Source organism: Homo sapiens, chromosome 8, assembly GCF_000001405.40.
Source record: "Homo sapiens chromosome 8, GRCh38.p14 Primary Assembly".
Classification (NCBI taxonomy): domain Eukaryota; kingdom Metazoa; phylum Chordata; class Mammalia; order Primates; family Hominidae; genus Homo; species Homo sapiens.
In genome coordinates, this window is record NC_000008.11 from 70,196,685 (window position 1) to 70,222,974 (window position 26,290).

General features: G+C 38.8%; 1 protein-coding gene across 49 annotated transcripts in view, besides 1 other annotated feature; it reads right to left on the bottom strand.

The window, feature by feature from the left end:
• The window catches only part of NCOA2 (nuclear receptor coactivator 2), a 346,665-nt gene that overhangs the window by 86,903 nt on the left and 233,472 nt on the right, over positions 1 to 26,290 (bottom strand). For 44 of the 49 annotated variants that reach the window (XM_047421240.1, XM_047421258.1, XM_047421256.1 and 41 more), the window contains 2 exons: positions 19,976 to 20,080; positions 17,219 to 17,391 (listed from right to left, as the gene is read on the bottom strand). In XM_047421240.1, the coding sequence (XP_047277196.1) occupies positions 17,219 to 17,391; positions 19,976 to 20,061 (259 nt within the window). In that variant the 5' untranslated portion in view covers positions 20,062 to 20,080. Of the gene's footprint in view, positions 1 to 17,218; positions 17,392 to 19,975; positions 20,081 to 20,312; positions 20,417 to 21,406; positions 21,469 to 26,290 lie in introns of those variants that run through there. The other 5 variants (XM_047421263.1, XM_047421248.1, XM_017012969.3 and 2 more) reach the window with 3 other exon arrangements.
• Positions 22,848 to 22,897: an enhancer, noted in NCBI's record as "active region_27506". NCBI's record gives its function as "activates an Ori minimal core promoter by ATAC-STARR-seq in GM12878 lymphoblastoid cells {active_cell/tissue: GM12878}" and the evidence as "EXISTENCE:reporter gene assay evidence [ECO:0000049][PMID:35858748]".

The window sequence follows — 26,290 nt, forward strand, 5'->3', positions numbered from 1 at the left end:
AAAGACACAGCAATAACTATTACAAATCTTTATTTTTATTTTGAATGTGTTGCTTTTGGAATTTCTCTGTGGAACAACATTTTCTGTCTTAATAAACAAAGGCAAAGTTGAAGACATGACAACCATTCTCAGGTAGGTAATGGAATGCGGAGGTGAAAGATCACAGGCTGCAGAATAACCAGACTGCGCTTTGGGTTCTAGTTTGTCACTGACTAGTTTTAAGGCCTCAACCTTACTACTGTTTTTGTGTATCAGTTTCCTTATCTATGAAACATAGGCAATAATTCCAATCCTGAGGCAGTCTCACAGATCTATTCTATGGACAGAGTGTAGAATGCAGTAGGCGTCTAAATGGGATGAGGTAGCTGAAAACAGTATGTATGAATGCATTTACATGACATTCTCTTAACGCTGCTAAAGAAAAAAGTATAGTTAAGTAGCCCTGGATACAAGGAATTTTGATTCTTAGTATTAGACTTTATTTAAACATTACCCATATGGTGAACTTCAATATACTCCCGGAGATCAAAAAACGTTTTACTTCCTACCTTCTCTTATCCCACTTTCCTTTATATCACTATATATCTACATCAACCTATCAATCAATCAATCATAGTACTTACTAATTTGCTATTATTACTTCTTCTTTTTCTTAGATCCAGGTATCAGCTTTATTACCTACTAAATGCAGGCACAGGCCAAGCTGGACCCCCACTGGCCTCCCTTGAGGGTGGGTCCCTACGTCAGGGAGGGTGAGGGACATATGCTGAGGAGCAGCTATTCTAAAAAAGCTTTAACGATTTCTTTGTTGTCTGCACAGCCTGAGAGCCCCACAACGACAGGGACAGTGCTTTACAGGTCTTTATATTCCTGATGGCTAGCACAGTGTTTGAACATAGAAGATATCTGGCCAATGTGTCCTGAACGTAAGTATGAATTAATAAGAAATCACCATGTTTAAATATAATTATGGCATATTCCCTGGTCATTTGGTCATTTCCAGACCATATCATTGGAATTTATTTTAAACTGACACAGCAGTTAATGAAAGTCCTTAAATGTGTTCTTTTTCTTCATTATTCTATTCATACCTTCTTAAAGCATCTGAAGAAAACCTTGGATTTCTTGCTGCTTTCACATTTTCTCTAAAAGTTTTTTTTTTTTTTTAAAGACAAGGCTTTTCTCTGTCACCCAGGCTAGAGTGCATTGGCTCAAGTGATCCTCCCAGCTCAGCCTCTTGAGTAGCTAGAACTACAGGCACACACCACCATGCCCATTTAATTTTTTTTTATTTTTTGTAGGGACAGGATCTCACTACGTTGCCCAGGCTGGTCTCAAACTCCTGGCCTCAAGAGATCCTCCTGCCTTGGCCTCCCAAAGTGTTGGAATAACAGGTGTGAGTAATGGCATCTGGCTTTTTGTTCATTTTGTATAAATGCTTATTAAGTATCTCTTATGTACAAGACAGGTAAAAGGGTATAAAAATTATTAAGATAAGGTTCCTCCACAAAAGAGCTGTCGTGGTAATGGTAATAGGGAGTTTTTTGTGTTTTGTTGTTGTTGTTTTCAGTTTAAACTACACTACAAGCCAAAATGATGTATACATTTGATCTAAAAGTGGCACACAAGCTGTGCAGTTATGAGTTAAAGAGTAATTAAGGCTGGAGGTCTGCCTAGAAGTACGATGGCCAGAAAGATAAGAGCAGGAGACAGCCTGGAAAGTACAATGGGACCAGCCAGCAAAGGGCCTTGAATACCATGGGAAGGCATTTTCCTTCGTCCTGCAGGCAGGGAGACTCACTGGAGGCTCAGGAGTTACACAGCCAATGTATTTTTAGAAAGTTAATGGTGATAGCAGCGGGGATGGATTATAGAAGGTAAAGAAGCAGAGATGAGTTAAGGTGAGAAAAGATGTCTTAAATTAGAGTGCTGAAAATAAACATGGGAAAAAAGGGTTATATAGCACAGAATACAGTGAGGAACTGACAGAGCTGACTAAATTGGCTGATTGTGGGGAAGGAAGAGGTAAAAGAGAAGGTGGCTGGAACTGAGGTTTCTAGCCTCGGTAAGGACAAAACAGGTGATCAGCGCATGGTGGTTACACAGACTGAGATAGAGCACAGAAAAAAGGATGAGGCAGTCTTTTCAGAAGGCAGAGGAGAAAACGGGTTTGGTTTGAGAGTATCAATTTAAGGCACCTGTGGAACACCCCTGTGGATGTCTAATGGTAGCTGGCAATCTGGACGGACAATGAAACTGTAAGACGGGGGCTGTGGGGAGGGACTCACCGAGTATCTGTGCAATGAAAGATGAGGGAAAGGTCAAGGGCAGATTTACCTTGACAGTCAGCACAAATACAAGCAATAGTTAAAACTCATTAAAGAGCGAATTTTATTTGAGAAGAAGAAAGGGCCAAGGTTTAGATGAGGAAAAAAAGCCAGTGAGTGAGGATGAATGTGGTACAGCTCAAAAGTAGAAAGGGGTGAGGTGCAGTGGCTCATGCCTGTAATTCCAGCACTTTGGGAGGCTGAGGTGGGAGGATCACCTGAGGTCAGGAGTTCGAGGCCAGCCTGGCCAACATGATGAAACCTTGTCTCTACTAAAAATACAAAAAAAATTACCTGGGTGTGGTGGTGGGTGCCTGTAGTCCCAGCTACTCAGGAGGCTGAGGCAGGAGAATTGCTTGAACCCAGGAGGTGGAGGTTGCAGAAAGCCAAGATTGCGCCACTGCACTCTAGCCTGGGTTGTCAGAGTGAGACTCCATCTCAAAAAAAAAAAAAAAAAAAAGTAGAGAGGGATGGTCAACAGAGACAGCTACCAGAGAAGCTAGGCAGGCAGATGGGAAGAAGAGCTGCCACCTCTGATCAACGGGAGTCGCTGCAGACAGTCCAGGGAGCAGTGAGGGGCACACAGGCCAGAGTTTAGCTGCTGAACAGTAAACAGGAGTGTAACTTCCTTCATTTTGTAAGAAATTTGGCAATAAAGAGAAGAAGAACGAGCAAACAGTATGGTGACAAGAAAACCATCATAAGGAGGCAGAACTCAGATCTTTCTTGGTCCCAGGCCACATCCTGCCATCTCCCTATTCACTCCTCTGTTAGCTGTAGGCTAATTACATCCATTGACAGCCAACTAGGCCAGAATTTGCTAAAAGAAACATCTTTAATACTCACGCTATCAGGATTTTTCGTACCTCTATATAATGTATACAGTCAGCCTTCTGTATCCATGGGTTCTGCATTGGTGGATTCAACCAACCACAGATTGAAAATATTCAGGAAAAGATGGATGGTCTGTACCAAACATGAACAAGCTTTTCTTTTTCCCCCCTTGTCATTATTCCCTAAACAATACACTATAACAACTATGTATATAGCATTTATATTGTTTTACATATTATATAATAAGTAATCTACAGATGATTTAAAGTAAACAGGAGGATGTGCATAGGTTATACACAAATACTATACCACTTTATATCAGGGACATAAGCATCCAAGGATTTTGGTATCCATGGGGGTCCTGGAACCAATCCCCCATGGATTCAGAGGGGTGACTGCATAAAATATGTATATTTATTTATAAGGTACACGTATGTACCTCTGTTAGAATGAACATCAAATATTATTGGAGTTCAATATTATGGGTCCTGGTTTATCTATTCATTTCTAGCTGAAAGGCAAGAGACCAACCACCTTCCATGAAGCCCAAGCAAGATCACTTCCTAAGGCATACAGCATTACTGCCTTACTCTAGGGATGGATTTTGCACTGTAATTTACTGATCTGTGGCCTGTCTCTCCTACTGCTCAACTCCAGCTCCATGAAGAAGGCATTCATTAAGGGTTTCCTGACTGACAAAATCATTGTGTAATTCTGACTCGCCACTACCTATCCCTAGTCAGGTGACACAATTGAAGGAACAATAATTGCTACAACATGGATAAAGCTTAAGGACATTACACTAAGTGAAATGAGCCAGTCACAGAAGGGCAAATATTACATGATTCTACTTACACAAGGTAACTATAATAGTCAAATTCATAGAAGATGAACAGTAGTGATGGTTACACAAAAATGTGAATGTAAGGCCAGGTGTGGTGGTGCATGCCTGTAATCATCCCAGCACTTTGGGAGGTCGAGGTGGGAGGACTGCTTCAGCTCAGGAGTTCAAGGCCAACCTGTGCAACATAGCGAGAACTCAACACTACCAAAAAAGTCAAATGTGGTGTTGTACACCTGTGGTCCTAGCTACTTGGGAGGCTGAGGTGGGAGAATCACTTGAGCCCAGGAAGTCAAGGGGCTGCGGTGAGCCACGATTACACTACTGCACTCCAGCCTGGGTAACAGGGTGAGACTGTGTCTCAAAAAAAAAAAAAAAAAAAAAAAGTAAAGTGAATTTACTTAATGCCACTGAACTGCACATTTAAAGATGGTAAATTTTATATTATGAATATTTACCACAACAAAAAAGGTCAAATTAAAATCAATTCTCAGGTTAAAGGATAATTGGTATTTAGAGTCTTTAAATCAATAAGTATTACAAGCAGAACTGCAATTCTTGTAATTTTGTGAAGTATCCTCTACAGTCACATTCACAGAAAATCTCTTAACAAAATATGAACCAGAATCTGACATGCTGATAAACACACCTCTGGAGTAAAAGCTGGACTAGCAATCATAATCTCCAAGTCCAGAACTGCAGGTCAACTTTTTAGCAGACTTTGCACTCATGACAACACCTAAGCTGTAAGAGGCTCCATTTCTTACCTATAAAGCTGAGGTGAAGAACACTATTACTGTTGCCCCGGAGTTATTACCTTACAAATCTCAGGGATGGGGATGATAAGAGGATAAAAACACAAGCTCCTACACTGATTACCAGGGATAAATGACTCAGTAATTAACAAAAGGTGAACATTTTGTAAGAAGAAATGAACTAAAATATTTCAGAGTGAGCAGCAGTAATAAGAGGAGGAAAGAACTGGAAGTGAGTGCCTCTATTCTGCCCATGCCCAAACTACAGATAGAAGGACAGCCATTACACTTCTTCTTTCCCTGTAACCTGTATAGGAAGTCTAACGTAGCAAAAAGCTTCAGCGCAAGAAATACTCTTTAGGGGGACATGAGAAACGACTGAAATGAGGCAAAATGTCCAGAAAGGAGATGTCAATGCCATGGTGGTTTTCTCTCATTCTCCTATTGACTTCTAATCTGCCTCAAAGAATCCTCCTTCCTGTACCTTAGAATCTCCCCGCTCCCATTTTCTTGGCCTATGATCATGTTTAGTGCCCTAGATTATTCAGTGATAAATATTATGATACTTGACTATAGAAGGCATTCTGTGATGCAATATAGTATTAGATAATTATTCTTTTCAAAATATCTCCTTGGAAAAGATGTTCAACATCACTATTCAGCAGGAAAATGCAAATGAAAACCACAATGAGATATCACCTCACACCTATTAAGGACAGCCACTATCAAAACCACCCCCAGAGAGTAAGTGTTGGTGAGAGTATGGGAAAATGGAAAGTCTTGCACACTGGTGGTGGAATTGTAAAATGATGCATCCACTATAGAAGACACTATGGAGGTTCCCTGAAAATTTAAATGCAGAATTACCATGTATAAGCCAGTAATCTCACTTCTGGGTATATACCCAAAAGAATTGAAAACAGGATCTCAAAGAGATATTTGCATCCCCATGTTAATTGCAGTATTTTATTCATAACAGCCAAGATATGGAAGCAATCTATATGTACATCAATGGATAAATGAATAAAGAAAATGTGGTATATAACACAGTAGAATCTTATTCAGGCTTAAAAAAAGAAGGAAATCCAGTCACATGCCACAAAATGGATGAACCTTGAGGACATTAAGCCATGTGAAAGAACCCCAATCACAAAAAGACAAATACTGCCTTGTTTTATTCATATAAGGTATCCGAAGTAGTCAAACTAGCAGAACTAGAAACTAGAATGGTGATTGTCAGGGGCAGGGAAACAGAGTTGCTGTTTACTGGGAACAGAGTTTTACTCATGCAAGATGAAATTCTAGAGATCCACTGTACAACAATGTGCATATAGTTAACAATATTGTAATTTACACCTAAAAATTGGTAAGAGAGTCAATTTACTTTATGTGCTTATTTACTACCCCACCCACAAATTCACCAACCAAAAAAAAGTCTCCTTGGAAGGACCAATGAAAATAGTTGCAAGGGCTGGGCGCGGTAGCTTATGCCTATAATCCCAGGACTTTGGGAGGCTGAGGTGGCCGGATCACGAGGTCAAGAGATCAAGTGGTGGCTCATGCCTGTAATCCCAGCACTTTGGGAGGCTGAGGCAGGTGGATCACGAGGTCAAAAGATCGAGACCATTCTGGCCAACACGGTGAAACCCCGTCTCAACTAAAAATATAAAAATTAGCTGGGCATGATGGCATGTGCCTGTAGTCCCAGCTAATCAGGAGGCTGACGCAGAAGAATCACTTGAACCTGGGAGGCAGAGGTTGCAGTGAGCCGAGATCGCACCACTGCACTCCAGGCTGGTGATAGAACAAGACTCTGTCTCAAAAAAAAAAAGAAAAAAGAAAGAGGAAATAGTTGCATGTGTAATTTATTACTGTATAATCCATATCAGTCTGAAAATACGTAAGTCTAAAGTCCATAAAATTAGTCACAGTTCCCTCTCCCTTCTTCTACCAGTACAACAGATTTTTAAAATAGGATCGTTCTTATTGATTTGTTTTTAAAAAAACAAACCCAAAACAAACACCCATGAAAAATGTACTTTACTATAATCCCAGCTACTTAAGAGGCTGAGGTGGGAGGATCACTTGAACTCAGAAGTTTGAATCAAACCTGGGCAACATTGCAAGACCTCAACTGAAAAAAAAAAGAAATAAGAAAGAAAGAAACAGAAAAACCTACTTTAAACCTAAGCTAACCAGTGAATGACAATAATAAACAGTGGTATTTGTGCTCTTATATCTTTTGTTTATTTCTATGTTTAAACTCTTCTCCCTACCACAGCACAAATATTTAATTCATTTCTCAAAAATTGGCATCATTCTTCAAACTAAAAGAATGAATTAAATGTAAACATCAGCTCACAGAAATTTAAATGTACTCGGCAAATTCTTACATGAGTTATTTCAAAACCAATATATCTAATATCTGCGCAGCACTAACATAAAATGTGAATGTGCGTTCTATATTATATATTCTAGTCTAAAACAATATGTCTATTTAAAACATTAGAGAAAATATTCCATGGTAATTAAAGTTCCTAATAAAAAATTATAAAATACTTCTTTTCATAGGATTCTTTTTTTTTTTTAAGATGAGGTCTCGCTCTATCACCCATGAGTGCAGTGGTGCAATCTTGGCTCACCGCAACCTCTGCTTCCCGGGTTCAAGCGATTCTTCTGCCTCAGCCTCCTGAGTAGCTGGGATTACAGGCGTGTGCCACCATGCCAGGCTAATTTTTGTATTTTTAGTAGAGACGGGGTTTCACCATGTTGGCCAGGATAGTCTCGAACTCCTGACCTCAAGTGATCCGCCTGCCTCAGCCTCCCAAAGTGCTGGGATTACAGGCATAAGCCACCATGACCGGCGAATAGGATTTCAAAATATATTCTAGTCGACAAGCTGTGAGGATTCTTCATCCTTACAAAAACAAACAGGGCTCCAGCTATGCTTATCAGAATCTAAGAGAGTTAACAGTTCACCACCACTTGTTTTATAAAGATGTTAATGCACTATCAGGAGGCAAACAAAAATATTGTAAATAATATTTGTCACAAGATAGGTTGTAATCTGTAATCCTTGTGCAAGGATGGGAATGTATTCACTCAGTTACTATAATACAAATGTTATGTTCTTAAATTTAGGGCAGTATTTTCTCCTGATATAAAACCATTACACAAGGCTGAATAAAGGCCAGGAATCAGAAAAATCCAACAAATATTTATTTTACATAAACTAAGAACAAACATGATACTCAAAACCGCTGCAGGTGGCTGGGTGCGGTGGCTCACGCCTGTAATCCCAGCACTTAGGGAGGACAAGGAGGGCAGATCACCTGAGCTCAGGAGTTCAAGACCAGCCTGGGCAACATGGCGAAACCCTGTCTCTACTAAAAATACAAAAATTAGCCAGGCATGGTGGTGCATGACTGTAGTGGTGCACACCTATAATCCCAGCTACTCAGGAGGATGAGGCACAAGAATCGCTTGAACCCGGGAGGCAGAGGTTGCAGTGAGCGGAGATCGTACCATTGCACTCTGGCCCGGAAGACAGAGCAAGACCTTGTCTCAAAAAAAGAAGTGCTGCAGGTCCAAGGGTTAGGTAGATAATACAACCTCTGCCATCAAGAAATCTGTCATTCAGTGGGTGAAGAGAAAGTGAAGTACCTAAAACACTAAACAAACACTAAACAGAGTAAGATCAGACAGTACCAGAGATGTCAAAGGAGATGAATTCATATTTGTTTGGAGATTAGAAAGTGTTTTGTGAAAAAAAAAGCAGTGTTTGAGATAGGCCTTGAAGAATGAACAGTAGGAATGTAATGGGAATAGACAGAAACAGGAAAAGCAGTATTTTGGATAGGGAGGAAAGAATACAAATAATCACACCAAAGTGAAAAAGCACAAGTATGTGAAGTATGTGTCAGCAATAATAAGTAGTCTAGGGTAATGGGCTTTGGGTATACGTACTGATGAAATGAGCCACAAGAATACAGTAGTAGGCCAAACTGGTCAGACCCGAGGTCTTGGTGAAGCCCCCTTGCCACTGGACCTTCTACTATCATCCACCCAGATTCCCTGTCACTATACACTACAAACGCAGAATAGCTGTGATACTCCATCAGGATGGCCTACTAAAGGTGAGCAGATGTCAACCAGCTGAGAGGGGAAAAAAAAAGAGGCATTCCCAAACAGAAGACCCAGAAGGAGGAAACCACAACGTGAGAGCCTGAGCCAGTGTATGTCATGGGGAAGAGATGCAAGTGCAAAGGAGGTTGTCGGTTGGAGCAAGGGAGAATGGCAGGACTGGAGACAAATCACAGGGGTACTAGTCTTCTATGGTGAGGGTTCTTCTTTTGGACTTTGTCATAGACTCCGCTAGTAGTCACGAAGTCGGGGCAAATGATCAACCTGGCTCCCTCAAGGAGGATCTTAAGGAGTACCTTTAGCAGATTCTTGTATAGGAATGGCCAAGTATTACTCCCCTGGGCACAATGGCAGATACTATGCCCCAGCAATCAAAGTGGCAGGAGCAGGTAGCATACTGATTCACCTCCCCCACCCTCTGACAAGTACAAGAGAGGGCTGAGCAGCCAGGAAACATGTGGGCACTCTTCACTAAAGCTGGGGTGGGAGTAGGACAGAAGGTAAGGACTGGCAGCTAGTGGGCTCAGCCCAAGGGCTCTTATCTACAAATGTGCCCGCAGTGTCACAATATGACTCTGCATTAAGTCATTAGTGACAATGTCATAAGGAACTATAAACTAAGATATTTAAGAATTTCTCTATCTTGGTGTTTGAACCTGCAAGTGGGTACTTCTGAGTGTACTTTCCATATTCCTCTCTCTGTGTCCAGCTCTGTCATTGTGAGTCTCTCTCACTGTCTTTCACCTCTGTCATTTCCCCCTCTTCATTTCCTCCTGCTCCTTCTAAGTCTATTTAAATTATAAAAATAAATGAAAGCTTATTTATAAAACAAAATTTATTTCTTATTGATGAATGAGAAATTTTATAGTTTTCCAGCATTTGTTTTAACTTCATTTTTTCTTGTTGTTTCATTAGTTATGCACCTCTCCCCCTCTAGATTTAGAATTTTTAAAAATCCAAATTATCTCCCATTCCAAATATAGAGTATCTCTAGAATCTGGAGAGGATGGTAGATGACTTCAAGCCAGCTCTGCTGAAGATGGTTAGAGGTCTCTCATTTAATGTTACCCTCTCCAAATTCCAATATTGCTTACTGTACTGGGCTTACTACTCTCCTATCTAGCTCTGACTTGCCCTTTTCAGCCTCAAATCCAACCAAGTGCTCCCATACATCTTATTCTACAGTCTGACCCGGCACACACCACATGCCACTGAGCACTCAGGCTCCTCTATTTCCTGTGTGGAGTGCCTCTCCTCACGCCCAGCCCCGACTTTTTTACCTATTAAAATCTTACTTTTACAGCAAGACCCAGTTCAAGTTTATTGTCCTCCTCGAAGCCTGTGCCAGCTTCTTTAATAATCAACAGGCTTCTTTAATAATCACATTCCTTTCCATTGTTCCCTACAGTTCCACAGCTAGTTGTCTGAAAGCTGATTTTCCCCCAAATGAGTGAAAGCTCCAAGAAAAAGAATCATGTACTTACTGATTGCTGGATTTCCCCTGGCAAATAACCATACGTTTTATATATAGTATATACTCAATACAAAATTTATTGAATGAATATTTACTCTTGAATGAAAGCAATACATACAGTATTGATGTATGATTAGTGTCATACATTAATGACAGAATTAATTTCTTTTCATACAAGTACAAGGTGATCAAGAAAACAAGGGATGTCTACTTTCTATCAGAGTGTGATAGCCGGCTTGGGTCTTGAAGTGAGAGCTCACATCATAAATCCTAAAGCATTATAACACATTCAATTATTTAAATCCTCTTTATCTGAAAGCTGTTAAACAAAAAACTTCCATGTACTTAAGAAATAAAATAAGGGGATCCTAGGAGGAAATGAGAATAGAAATTCCATCCCTGCTCACTAATTTTAAGGATTTCATTAGCCATATAAGCCATTAAGCCACATGAAAATGTGCGAAAATGAATTATATGTAGTTCAGTGGAAAAATAGTTAATCTTCATTAAAAACTGCAGTATTGGTGGGGTGTGGTGGCTCATGCCTGTAATCCCAGCACTCTGGGAGGCCAAGGCGGGTGGATCACCTTAGGTTAGGAGTTTGAGACCAGCCTGACCAACATGGTGAAACCCTGTCTCTACTAAAAATACAAAAATTAGCCAGGCATGGTGGTGGGCACTGTAATCCCAGCTACTCGGGAGGCTGAGGCAGAAGAACTGCTTGAACCTGGGAGGCAGAGGTTGCAGTGAACTGAGATGGCGCCACTGAACTCCAGCCTGGGTGACAGAGCCTGACTCCACCTCAAAAAAAAAAAAAAAAAAAAAAAAGAAGAAGAAGAAGAAGAAAAGAAAAGCAATTGAAAATGAATAGTGCTACTTCAGCGAATGCATCAACAATAAAAAAGTGAAACAGCTGGACGTGGTGACTCATGCCTATAATCACAGCACTTTGGGAGGCCAAGTGGGAGGATCTCTTGAGCTTAAGAGTTCGAGACCAGCCTGGGCCACCTAGTGAGATCCCATCTCTGAAAATAAAAAAATAAAATAAAATAAATATAAGAAAGTGAAATAGCCTTTTTGCTGATATGCACAAAGTTTCAGTTGTCTGGACAGAAGATCAAGCCAGCCACAAGATTCCCTTAAATGAGAGCCTAATTGAGAGCAAGGCCCTCTCAATTCTATGAGAAGATGCAGAAGAAAATTCTATGAGAAGATGCAGAAGATATTTTCAATTCTATGAGAAGATGCAGAAGAAAAGTTTAAAGCTAGCAAAGGTGAGTTCATAAAGTTTAAGGAAAAAAATCCTCCATAATATAAAAATATAAGGTGAAGCAGCATGTGCTGATGGAGAAGCTGTAGCAAGTTATCCAGAAGGTCTGGCTAAGATCATTAATGAAGGTGGTTACACTAAGCAATAGATTTTCAATGTAGACAAAAAAACCTTCTGTTGGAAGAAGCAGCCATCTAGGACTTTCATAGCTAGAGGAGAGAAGTCAACGCCTCATTTCGAAGCTTGAAAGGACAAACTGACTCTTCTGTTAAGGGGCTGATGCAGCTGGTGACTTGAAGTAAATGTTCACTTCCCATTCTGAAAATTCTAGGGCTCTTCATAAGAATAATGCTAAATCTACTCTGCCTGTGCCCTGAAATAACAAAGACTGAATGTCAGCACATTTGTTTATAGTATGGTTTACTGACTATTTTAAGCCCATTGTTGAGATGTACTGCTTAGAAAAAGATTCCTTTCAAAATATTACTGCTCATTGGCAATGGACCCAGTCACCCAAGAGCTGTGATGAAGATGTACAAGGCCAAAAATGTTTGTTTTCATGCCTGCTAACTAACACAGTATCTATGCTATAGCCATGTTTCAAGGTGTACTTAAGAAATACACTTTGTAAGGGTGTATCTGCCACAGGCAGTGATTCTTCTGATAGATCTGGGCAAAGTACAAAGAAAAATATTCTGGAAAGGAATCACCATTCTAGATGCCATGAAGAACATTCATGATTCCATGGGAGGAGGTCAAAATATCAACATTAACAGGAATTTGGAAGAAGCTGATTCTAACCCTCATGGATGACTTGGAGGGATTCCTGACTTCAGTGGAGGAAGTAACTCTAGATGCAGTGGAAATAACAAGAGAACTGGAATTAGAAGTGAAGTCCAAGATGTGACTGAATTGCTGCAATCTCATGATCAAACTTGAACAAACGAGGAGTTGCTTTTTGCGGATAAACAAAGAAAATGGTTTCTTGAGATGGAATCAACTCCTGGTAAAGATGCTGTGAACACTGTTGAAATGACAACAAAGGATTTAGAATATTCCATAAACTTAGTTGATAAGGCAGGAACAGGGTTTGAGAGGACTGATTCCAATTTTGAAAGTTCTACTGTGGGTATAATGCCATCAAACAGCATTGCATGGTACAGAGAAATCTTTCATGAAAGTAAGAGTCCATCAGTATGACAAACTTCACTGTTATCTTACTTTAAGAAATCGTTATAGCCACCCCAGCCTTTAGCAACTCCCACCCTGATCAGTCAGCAGCCATCAACATTGAGGCAAGACCCTCCCACCAGCAAAGAGATTAGAACTTGTTGACGAGGCTCATATGCTTGTTATAGCACTTTCTAGCATTAAGGTATTTTTAAGTTAAAATGTATTAATTTTTTAAAGAAGTAATACCATTGTACGCTTAATAGACTACAGTACAGTGAAGTATAACTTTTATACACCCTGGAAAAACAAAAAATTCATGTCACTTGCTTTATTTTATATTCGCTTTATGGTGCGGATCTGGAACTGAACCTGCAGTATCTCTGAGGTATGCCTGTGCTTACTATTTTTCTGTGGAATAGAAGCAATATTAGCCTCCCAGTTAGGGAAAATGGTTATTTGCTATCTGTTTCCATGACTCCTGTTTCTAAGTTATAGAAGAGAGAAGTTCTAAACATTTATGACTATCATACCAAATATAAAGAAATATCCTACTTCAGTATCAGAAAGCTGTGATGACAGTGCAGATTCCAGACCCAGACTGCCCTATTCTTTCGCTTAATGGCTGTGTGACTTTGCCAGGCTACTTAACCACTCTGTGTCTCAGGTTCCCCTCCTGCCAAGGGGGAAAACAATACGCCTATTCCATGGTTTGTTTTGAGTACGAAATAGGTTATCAAATCTGAGCACTTTAAAAACTGCCTGACACACAGTAAGAACTATTTAGTCTTAGCTAGTATTAAAAATTCTCCAAGATTATTTAGCCAACAGAAGATCTAACTTAATTACTAAGTAACTAACTTAGCTAATAACTAAGGATTATGAATGTCGGCCAAAAAAAACCCCACCAACATGTACGGAATTCTCTATTTGATGGCAGTCACACTATTAGCATCAAACTCTTGTGTGTACTTGCTCTGTTTCTACAAAGTCCATTCCACAGTTAATGCTCTTGGAGGGCTAGCGTTTATGAAACACGGGTCTCATAAAGCGCTACGTACAACAGAATGCTTATTAATTTAACTAGCTGGTAATTTCCCCTCCAAATTTCCATCCTTTAGGCCATTTAAAAATCCTTTTCTTCTCTCCCTTTATTTATAAAGCATATAAAAGTTGAGAAGTAACTGACAGAGCACAGACTTGAGGGAAAGAGCCCTCCATGCCTGGCTGACACGTCATAGCTTCTGACACTGGAGCAGGGTTCCATAAAGATGAGCCCAGCTTTCCTCATTGTGTATTCTTTAGTATGGCCCCTCATGCAACCCAGTTTAACTTCTCTAGGATAAATAGGCAGGTTTATTACATAATGGGCATGTTCTCCTGAGCTCCCAAATGCATTTTATTCACGCTGACAACTATGACTGAAATACAAATTAAGTCTGGATAATGGTGTAAAGATGGTAGTTGGATTTTATTTATGCTGATTGGTCAGGGGATCAGTTGGGGTTGGGGGAAGACAGAGTTAGAGAGAAAGGCTTTGGCCTGACTTATGTGTTGTTCTTACTGGCTGTCAGATGCTGAGAAAAATCAAACTGGCCCAAACAGAGCTGCTGATGGAGTGGTACGCATGGGTTGCACAGATTTTCTGGCACCAGAAAATTCTTTTACTTTCTACAAATAGGTCAGGCACAGTGGCTCATGCCTGTAATCCCAGCACTTTGGGAGGCCGAGGCAGGCAGATCATGAGGTCAGGAGTTCGAGACCAGCCTGGCCAACATGGTGAAACCCCTTCTCTATTAAAAATACAAAAATTAGCTGGACGTGGTGGCGCATGCCTGTAATCCCAGCTACTCGGGAGGCTGAGGCAGGAGAATCGCTTGAACCCAGAAGGTGGAGGTTGCAGTGAGCTGAGATCGCGCCACTGCACTCCAGCCTGGGCAACAGAGCAAGACTCCAAAAAAAAAAAGAAAAAAAAAGAAAAAACAGCATCTTTCTGCTTAAGTAGGAATGAAAACTACTGAACATCTACTATGACAGGTGTTTACTGAATTTACATGGCTCATGATATCTTCAACAGCTATGTAACCTAGGTATTGTTAGCACTAAACTCTATATGAGGCAACTGAGTCTCAGAGATAAGATAATTTGCCCAGGTTCAAAAAGCTCCTAAATGGACCAGGATTCATACCTAGCTCCTGTCTGATTCAATTCTGCTCTTTTTAAAAAACAAATTATTAAACAAAGACTATTCGGAAAATATCAGAGTAGTTGAGAACTTAAAAATACATTTATGCTTTTCGTTTTTTCATTTGGTATTTAAGTTTTGCTTCCCTTTACAAAACACGTTGCTTTTCAAATTAGCAGGAACATTATTAGAAGAATAAGACGTGACAGGGTATATATTGCTGCTTCTTGGGTGGTTGTGGTATGCAGCCCTATGATTAAAACTATGGTTAAGGTATGGCGCAGTCCCAGCATGACACATCTGAACATGTTTTATGGTTTGAAGGGGGAATTACCAAGGTTTTGCAAACTTTAAAAACTTGTGCAAGACCTTCTTTGTGGCGCATATATATATATATATATATATATATATATATATTTGTTTTGAAATGTAGAAGTACTACCTAAACATGCAGTGTTCTCAAAACTGAATCATTCATAATCCTTAGAAACCTAAAACAAGAAGCTTAATGATTTCTTTACTGTAATGACATCAGCAACTAGAAACACAGCAACTTCAAGGCACTGGTTAATAACTTTAACCAATTATTTCTCCTAAGAGTTCTAGGAATATTATTTTATCCCTTTGCTGACACTAAAATATGAAGATACAAAATTGAGGTTTAAACTGAGTTTTTGATAACTAGTGAACCCCAAAGGGAAAAGAAAGACGAGTGATGAAGGGGACTGAAATGGGCACTGGGAGAAGAAACCCACTGGATGTTAAAGGTCATGGAGAAATCAGGAAATAAAGACTGATTTGCAGAGTGGGCTGGTGTTAGAAACTGTGTTGTGAATGCTATATGTATATTTTTATGTTCTTAGAAGACAGAACTATACTTGTAAAACTATTTTATACAGAATTTAGCTCAACAGTATAGGTATGAAATGGAAAACGCTAAGATGATATGCTAATAGGTAGCTAGGATTTGTGACAGATAAGAGCAGACAGTTTCAGGCTCATGTATTATAAAGACAAAGATATTATTTTTATGAAATATGCCTTTTTTGAATATTATATAAAAGGCAGATTTTAAAAATTTGAACTCTAAGAGGATGCATTCAAAAACAGATTACAGGTCAGGCACGGTGGCTCACGCCTGTAATCCCAGCCCTTTGGGAGGCCGAGGCAGGAGGGTTGCTTGAGGTCAGGAGTTCCAGACCAGCCTGGCAAACACGGTGAAACCCTGTTTTTACTAAAAATACTAAAAAATTAGCAGGGCATGGTGGCAGGCACCTGTAATCCCAGCTACTCGGGAGGCTGAGGCAGGAGAATCGCTTGAACCGAGGAGGCAGAGGTTGCAGTGAGTTGAGGATCACACCACTGCACCCCAGCCTGGGCGATAGAGTGAGACTGTCTCAAAAAAAACACCAAAAAAAAAAAAAAAAAACCACACCAGATTACAAAAGATAATAATCTCCCCAGGCCTAAAGAAAAGCAGTACACAGATACTTCAAGAGCATATATTGGCCCTGGGCACCAAAACGTTGTTCATACATGCCGAATAAAGATTTATTTTTGGCACCACAAAGTCAAATGTGTTCTTAAAAACATTATTTTCTTGATATTTTTCTGTAGGCATAAATATCAAAGAAAAGAATCATAAAATTATCTCAGAAAAAAAGAAAACCATAGGAAGAGAGCTGTCATGTTCTATGTTTCAAGTTCACAGATGGATTTCTTACTGGAGGTTAGAGACTTTCAAATCTCTTGTCATTCAGGATATGAAATTCTAATCTAGTGTCATGGCCAGTTGAGGCTCAGATTAATCAAATATGCTGACTAGCTGAAATAGGAGGTGCTTCACTTCCTTACTTCTGGTTTACATCTCAATCTGGCTGCTACTTGCAACTTTTGATGGTCACTTGCTGTGTATGCCTTGAAAATGCCACAGTGTGGGGAGGAGAATTGTGGGCACCTAACTGAGTTTACTAGATGAAAAGTTCCATCACCCTGACTCACCTCAGTCTTCTCTGTCTTTAGGGTATGGCTGAATTTTATACAAAGCCTATTTATAAACCACTGCAAGTGATACTTGCATTCATCTTACACTGTGACATCATTTCCTCATCAATAATTTAAGCATAAGAAATGGATTAAAGGGACTCTGAAGGGACTTCTCACACAGGGAAAAACAGAAACCAATTCAACTCTTCAAAATACTAATTCAGTCCTCTTACCTTGTTCTTTGATCTGACGAATTTGCTTCACAGTTTCTTTTAAGATTGCACATTTGTCAGGTTTGAAGTTAAAGTTGTCTATATCATTAAAATTTGCAAAAATCAACTCTGCAAGTTCTTCTATATATTTATTTTCCTGTTCACGATTACGTTTTTCAGTGTTCCTTTTGGGGCTTAAAAGAAGAAACACATTTTTATGATGTATTTGAAAAAGAGCTATTGTGAAAAAAATGAACGTGTTAAACAAGTTTAATACAAAGATAGCAAACAAAAGCTACCTATATAAACACAGAAATACTTTTGGGGGAAAAACACAATTTTCCAAAAGTGTTCCATGTTTTTTTAAAAAAATCAACCTAAGCCTAGTTTGTAATGAAACTATCTGTTCAATGTGTTTGGCGTCTCCCACTGGACTGTCCACTTCACAGTGACCTGGACTGTGCTCACCACTGTGCTTAGTGCAGTACTTGAAACAAGTGGGCACCAAATTAGTTGACAAATAAAAGAATGTTTCAAAAAGGTAAAGGAGGTTATATTTTAAAATTTATTTAAGATTAGTAAAAGAAGAGAAGTTAACCCAGTTAATAACAGGAATAAATTTCAATAATTTTTGGTAAAACATAAAAAATAAAACCAGATATTTATAATTTTATAGACTTCTTCAGAATGTTAGTAAGCAAACCAAACAGCCTTTTTAGGTAATGCAAAAAGTCACAATACAGCTAGAAACAAAAGCGAAACTGACCCAGGAAATTTGTTAACTGTCCAAGCTGAATGACATGCAAAATATAAACAAACAGTCCAATTTCAACTAAAGTTTAAAAAGTTAATGGAATGGAAAAATATCAAAAGAGGCAAAATCTTCCATTAGAATGTGACAAAATAGTAAACTGAAAAGTTCCTTTTCATAATAACAGCATACAATTATTTTCTCAAGTGCAAAGGGGGGCCCATTAAATGACATTCAAAACAATACAATAAGGAAGAAAAGCAAGTTGCTTAATGTAGCAGCTTTCTGTATTTTTATATATAATTATTTGTATATAATACTAATTTTAAAATTTCTGGATTCACAATAGACTTTCATATATGCATCTCTAAATATGTTTGATTTTCATAAATACATACTATAATACAATGTCTCTATTTTATAGTGTTTATACAATTTGTCCAGGATCACCCCACGAATTACTGGCACAGTAATTCAGAATTTGGTTTTTTTTCTAAGTCTCATTTTTACCCGTAGCTTCTGTTTTTACAGCAAAAGGTAAAGAGTGGCTGGAATGCTTAGAATAGCCCAGTTCCCATTCTGACCCCCTCCACCACCCTCCACCCATGCCCTCTCACCCTCTCACAAGGTAAGAAATAAATGACAAATAGGTGAGAAAGGGGAGTTGTGTTCAAAAGACCCCTGAGCGCCCCAGAGGGAGGGCTCAGAGACCTGCCACTACAGCCCACAGCTGAAACAGTTCCCACTTTCTCCCACTGCCTCCCCAGGTAGGGCTCCTGACTATTAAAGGCAGTCTGACAGACAGAAGTTTGTGGTTTACCAGGAAGTAGTAGGGAACCTAGAGGAGCTGGGGGCTGGGATGTAGAGAGTGGAGATTTATTGGGCTTGATGTTTTGCTTGGCAACTAGAAGGGGAAAAGGGAATATAAAATACTGGTGTTTTGCCCTTTCTCCTGCTCTGCCTCTCTTGATGACTTTTCCTAGCCCTCTTCCCTACTATTTCATGTCTGATGCTTTTACTGTCCATTAGGTAGAAGGTGTTGTTTTTATTTAATTCTTAAAATTATTTATATGATTTAAAACATTGAAAAAGTGAAAAGTCTCTCTTCTACTTTTGGTAACTATTTGCCCAGTTCTCATCCACCGAAACAGGTAGCAACAATTATTGTTTCTTGATTATCCTAAAACAATACACATTCTTTTTTCTTCCTTGTTTATACAGATGGCAATATTCCAAAAACATTTTCTAAACCTTGCTTTTTGTCTGTAACAATATTCTTAAGAGATTTTTTTTTCATATTAACCCATAAAGAGCATCCTCATCTTTATCCTAGCTGAACTGTGTTCCAGGTTCTAGATGTACCACAGCTGTTTAACAGACATTTAGGTTTTTCCGAATCTTTTGCAATTTGAGTAACCTCATATACACGTCATTTTGCATGTGTTAAAGTATATAATAGGAAAATTCCTAAAAGTGGAATGGCTAGTTCAAACAGGATATGCATTTATAATTTTGATACTGCCAAATTACCCTACATGGGCATTATAACAACTCATACTTCCACCCATAATATATGAGATGAAATTTGCTTTAAAATTCTTTGTTTTATTCACTAAAGAGCCACAATCTTTGTTCTCAACTCAGAAGTACATGGGTTTAACATTTTATGTCTTTAAAAATAAAACAACAAAAATAAAACCCATTATAAAATTAACGGCAAATCCTTTTTACTATAGGATCTTCTTGTTATAATATTGTGTAATCAAACTCAATATTATTAAATAAATTGATTCTAAGAGTCAAAAGATATCAGAAGTTTACAGCTTTCCTCTTTTTGTAAAGAATACAATCTGTAACTGATTTGCATATTCAAAATGTAAGCAAGTACATATTCAGAGATTTAACTGTTAAGGAGAAAAACCAACTCAATATTTGAATCAGCAGTAAAATCAATGCTAAAATAACAAAGAAGCACTCATGTGGCTTTAACAGACAATACTGATTCCTTTTCTCAGCAAGAATCTAACCTGGGTCCAAGTTGGTCAGGACATTCCTTGCGCTTTCTTGTCTCTGCCCTGGAGGGGTCAGAGGTATTTTCTCCCATCCCACTCATCTTGAACACATATCAGCAACTAAAACAGAAAACAGAGAAGAGGAAGAAAAAAATGAAGAGAGCTGATGATGAAGTGTCTGATCATTTTACCAACAATAAAAGAATTTTGACTCCAATCAGAAATTTGAGACCAGTAATTAACATTGTTTTATGTGCATGTATAATTTCTAATATAAAAGCCGTCTCTTTAAAAAAATCTTTTAAGATTAAGCAAATGTAAAGGTTAACATTTAAGAAACAAACAAGCCTACCTCATTGGGCCCAAATTCTTTAAACACGAGTTGTATTTCAACAGCACCATGAACTACAATCTACCAGCTCTGGGTTTGGGCTGCCAGCCTCCAGTTTCAAGAGTGATCTTGCACCATGTGGAAACTACAGGTGTTGTAAGGGGCTCCTCCCAGTCTCTGTTTTGGGTTAGCCAATGTGAAGTCTATGCTGCAACAGCTCACCCACAACAGACAGCCCGGGGAAGAGCCAGTGCCAGGACACGAAATTGAAGGTTTTCAAATTTAACTAGGTACATCTGACACCCCTGTAGCCCCGAGTTCCTGCACAAGGCCTCTTAATCAATGCCCCCTAGTGGGGGATCTTCCTGGCCCCTCGGGAAGCTCCTGTGCCTGGCTCTCCTGCAGCAGCTGCCTGGCTGCTCCTCCATCGGTGCCCTCTCTCTGTGGCAGCTCGCCTCCCTGCACACAGCATGGTCACTTCCTCTCTCACATCCTGCCGCCTCCAAACTTTCCTTCCCTCAGCTGGTTCTGGCTGCTAACGCCAAAGGTCTTAAGATATGCCCCAGAAGTCAGGGGAACTTTACTGACCCCCAAGTGGGAAGAACCATGATCAGCTCCTGCTTGCTGAATTCCTCTCAGTAAGAAAATAAAAAAAAATGTAAGAAAATCAGTGTGCTCGTCATCACTAACATAATCAAAATAATATTTAGGTAAGCAAGAACAAGCCAGTGACAGAGGTTTACGTACTGAAAGAGCTAAACAAAGAGACTTACAAAGACTGTGAGGAAACCATAAAAGACTGCTACTCAAGGTGTTCAATAACTGCTTACCAAAAGAAAAAACAATGCAGCAGGACAAGCTGAAATCTGCATTTAAAGTCTTTCCTAGAGCTCCTATTCGATACTACTTCCCCTTCCTTCTGGCCCCCAGACTTCTAAATCACCTTTGCCCCTCCTTTACTTTTTGTAGTGGCTTCTTTTCTTTTCTGGATAGAAAAAAAAAAAAATCAAAGGGAAGGTAAAGTGCATTAGAAGACAGAGAACTTAAGGAAGATGACAGAGGACAATCAAGAGTAAGGACAAAGAGCAAGGAGGGCTAAGGAACATAACGCGTACCAGTCAAACCGCCAGGCCACTTCTTCCCTGTAATCTGGGCTGCCCAGTCTCAGCTGTACTACAATAATTTCTTCTCGCCACTTCTGATACAATAGCGCAGTGGAGTTAGTTTTTTTTTTTTTTTTTTTAAAGAGTCATATGTAAGCAGAATGAAGAAATACTGTATCCGTTTAGGGAGGCTGCACCACTGGTACACATTTGATTCAAGAGGTGACACAGAAGGGAATAATTCTCAAAGCTGATACCCAAGCTTCTTGCTGGTTAGAGCAATGCAACCAAGTCCCAATGTCCCACACTGTGGTCACAATTTTGGCCTGATAATAAGTATAATCTGTATTTATTTACTATGAGAGAGGCAGACTATGAGAGGCAGGATAGCAGAGAAGTGAAGGGCCAGTATTCATGTCCAAGCTTCACCACTTTTAGCTATGCGAGGCTCACTTGAGACCAGGAGTTGGAGACCAGCCTGAACAACGTATCAAGATCCCATCTCTGTAACAACAACAAAACCCTAAATTCCAGAACCCTTCTCAGATGATACCTTATAGACATTCACTTTCAGTACTTCTCTCTGAATCACAATTCCCATGGTTTCAATCATGAGATGTAAGAAAAAACATTACACATCCAGTCTAAGTAACCTTTCAACAAATGACCTAGGAGATTTTCACTCTGAAAGCAGCTTTCTAGAAGTCATACAAACTTAAGAAAGTTTCTATCATTACAATATAGCCTTCAATATACAGCATAGCAAAATGCCCTATATAGTAGGTATAGGTGACAAGTTTTTTTGTTAAAATGGCTATTCCCCCCCTCAAAAGCAATGCCACATATACTAAAATGTATAGTATTATCAGAAAGATCAGAAAGCTTTCAACAGACAATTAAAGTAAGGAACTGTTTTACCTAAAGTCATATACACCCAGTTTGAGGATGATTTAACATTATATATATATTATTTGCATCATTTACCTGTGAATATTCTAAAATACATACACGAACAATTGTAACATATGAGGGACAGCACTGGGACATAGGGACCAGAGGGAGAGAGAAGAGGAGCCATTTTCTAGTCTAAGTATAGTAAAATCATTTGAGCAGACTGTTTATAATTTGCTTGTACCTACTCAAGGTTGGCTTAAAAACCACTCTATTTGTAGACTGAAAATATCATAATTTCCTCTTGAAGTAAGTTATTTAAATGCCAAGTGGTTTTCCCTTTTATTATGTAGTGGTATCTTAAACACATTTCCTCAAAATCTGCAACTTTCGGCTTGATGAACATAATTGCTTCCTTATATTTTTGTGTCTACTGCACATGTCCTCTTCTCAGAGCAACATTCCTGGGCTATGTGCCCCAGTACACACCTCCAACCCACCTTTCCACCACCAAGGGGAAAGTGGGGTGGAGTCGGGGATGCCTGGCCAAGCCAAGGAAGGATGGCTGCCTCCTGGTAACCTCCAGGAAGTGCCAACATGCAAGGATGCCCTGTCTGAATCACTGCAAATCACCCATAAAAACAAAAAGGAGACAGACCTGAGACCAAAAGTGGGGGGAGCGAATGTAACACTGACACAGGAAGGGCAGGAGGAGGGTGGAGGGGGGGCAGACAGCTGCAGTCTTAGAGCAGACACATAAATTTATGCCCTGCATTTTAGTGGGAGAGCCGAATAAATAACAGAACCTCATGAATGAGGTGCTCTAACCTAGTGGACTGTCTGATATTTCTAATGCTTATGTGAGGAGGCTGGGCTGGCAGCAAGTGTCAGTATTTCACACTGGAACAGGAGGTGGGGCCAGGTGAGTTCATTTTTCCCCCAACTCAAAATACTGGGCAATGCAGAAGTGACACAAATAAAAACCAGAGAGAGATAGATAAGTTATAAAAACGACTTTCTTCTAAGTTATATAAATTACTTTTTCTATACAAATGTACATTCTAGTGTATAGTCACTCATAGAGAAATATCTAAAATAAACTCTATGGACAGAGGAATTTTTATGCACTTTTGTAGATCGAAGTTAAAAAATTCATTTCCAGTGTAAAGGTAGGAGATGGAAAATACTAAAGAGCAGCACTGAAGGTTCTAAAATTTCATTTGGTGACCAGCTCTAAATTAATAGTTTCTTATAATTTCTGCACACTCACATGAAATTAAAATTCTTAAGCATCTCACTCTCAATGCTGAAACTGTTTAACGTAAATCACAAAAACTGAAAATGACACAAGTAAACTCTCAGGCTGTATTTGATGGTAATTACAGTCATTGAGAGCAAACCAGTTTCTACCAGATGTTGGGGGTTGTGAAAGGACAAGTCTGAAAAAAAAAGTTTCAAATCATCCATTCTTGTTATCTGTAACAACACAATAGCCCTGTTTTCACAGTGACCATACATCCTCCCTTACATCCCTTGATATCAGCTTGGATGAGCTAGACGGTAGGGAAGAGTTATAGCCTTACGATTAGTAAGTTTTATCTCTAAAAAGTAACAATATTCTGGGAGGGGTGAACAAAGCCAGTTGAATCCTTAGCATAATGACAGAAAGCAAAATAAAATGTTAAACCTCAACACAATTCAAAAATGTACTTTCATGGAATTCACCAATATAATTTATAAGGTAACAAAGCTGTTGCTCTCAATACAACCTCATACCATTAAAGCTTGTTAATCATCCATAATTTATGTAAACGATAATATGCATTTTATCTTTTATCAAGACAGCCTATCTTCCAAACAAGGCTTGTAAAACTGCCAGATGCATTATATACAGAACAAATTCAGTTAAAGAATAAGGATACTACTGCTGCTGAACTCCAAACATAATAAAGTGATCGAACATCTGATCCTGACTGCTAGCTCCAATAAATGTTCTTAAAGTTAGGCCTTCTCTGAAATTCCCCAAGTTAGAAACGACACAGAAAGAGCTACTGAAACCACTTCTCTTATGAATGTCTACTTGAAGAGGACCTGCCTGATAAATCATCTAGCTCTTGTTATGAGAACAGAAAGACTTAGAGATTTCCGAGGTTCCTTCTGAGCTCTCTTTACGATAGACATATGAAATTGTGTAATATGTAGTCTAACCCTTTACAAACTTTTAAAACCAAGAAATGCTCAAGCAATATTAAAAGTATACATAAAACCTCACTTAAATACCCTTCCATTTCTATTTAACTAAACTACAGAAGGATAATCTTTTAGAGCCCACTGTTTCTCAGAATCCCACCTCAACAGCTAAAGCTGCATCCACTATTGCTTTATCACAAATGAAAACATTTGCTCATTCTAAACTGGTAACAGTTTCTCCTTCAAAGTACACTGTGTTCCAAGAGCGATCCCTTTATAAGGATAAAAGCAAAATTTCTGGGCCAGGCTCTGATAAGTCTAAAAAACATAGTATCTAATGCTTCAATAAACAAAATGTGCTTTTTGGATGTAGATGCCTGAGAAAGAAAAGAAAGTAGGCCAAACTTGGGAAGTCAGTAAGATGATACAGAAGACATCCAGTTGCTAGAGGAAGGGAAATACCTCTTTTCAAATAGGGTTAATTGGTCGAAATTACCCAAAGCAGACATTATTTTGGCAAGATCCCAACTTCTGGCAACAGTTGAATAAATATTCTATGCAGGAAATATACAGACTACTCAAGGATATAATGTTGATTCATACAAAGAATCATCACACAGACAAATAAAACAGAAGTAGAACTATGTGGATTTACTAAATGCTGGGATGACAGCGCACAGAAAATCAAACGTTGCTTCCCATTGGCAAACAAGTAATGCATTCAACAGTGATAGAGGACATGACACAATATTTTTAAAATTTTTACCTAGTAAAATTATGTATTATTTCCTCCCAAGTGTCATTACTCTTTTTTACTAGATCATAAGGGCTCTTTTAACGTCATCTTTACGTAATACTGTAGTGCTTCTTGGTTTTCATACAGTAAAATTTTAATTTGCCTCACATACTATAGTCTGTATCTACAGATTAATGTACAGAATCAAAAAACTGTACATTAATTCATATAGTAACAACAGTTAAGTTACAAAGTTTTAGAGGACTCACTTCAAATAAATCCAGAAAAATCTAGAATTTGTTTTCAAATAAGTTCAACTTTACTAGTTTAGAGCAGTTTACTGTACATTTGCCTTTTAAAAATAACAATAAGATAGACACAAACCACTATTATTAGGATATGATTTTTCAATACTAAAACACTAGCCATTTATTGTTAGGTAGAGGATTAAAGAAAATAACATATCCTGCAACCACAACTAGTCTCTAGGTAAACTGGCTTTAGCACCTACCTTCTCTTATGCTGTGTCTTAGTCCAGGAACAGTAATAACAGTATATAAACAAATGTTTAAGCTAAAAATTCCTTCCTCTCAGTATCGTCTGCTCTTAGATTACTTTTGTATAATGGCCTTAAAGTGGTATATTAGACAGTAACTAGAAGACATATTCCATTTTCTGACTGAAAGCCAATAATACTCATGAATTTTTTAGCTGAAAGACACTTCAAGATGCCATTGGGAAGACTGTAATAAACACATTAGGCTGCAAATGGGCAGTAGCAGCTCTTTAACACATGCTGCAATAATCAAATAAATGGCTACATTCATGTTCACTGGTTACACAAATATTTTGCTGCAACATATCCATCATCTGCATCTGTCCTAAAGAAGGGGAAAACCTCCTTCAAAGTCTTATCTTAGCAGAATTCAGGCCAGAATACATAAGTAGCAGGGAGCTGTTCTAAACTATCATTACCAACATGGGCGAAAATGTCTAGTCTGACATCAGTGGCACATGATGGCTTCTACTTTCTAAATTCTCATAGGCCAAGTTCCTTAACATAGCCAGTTACTGGACTG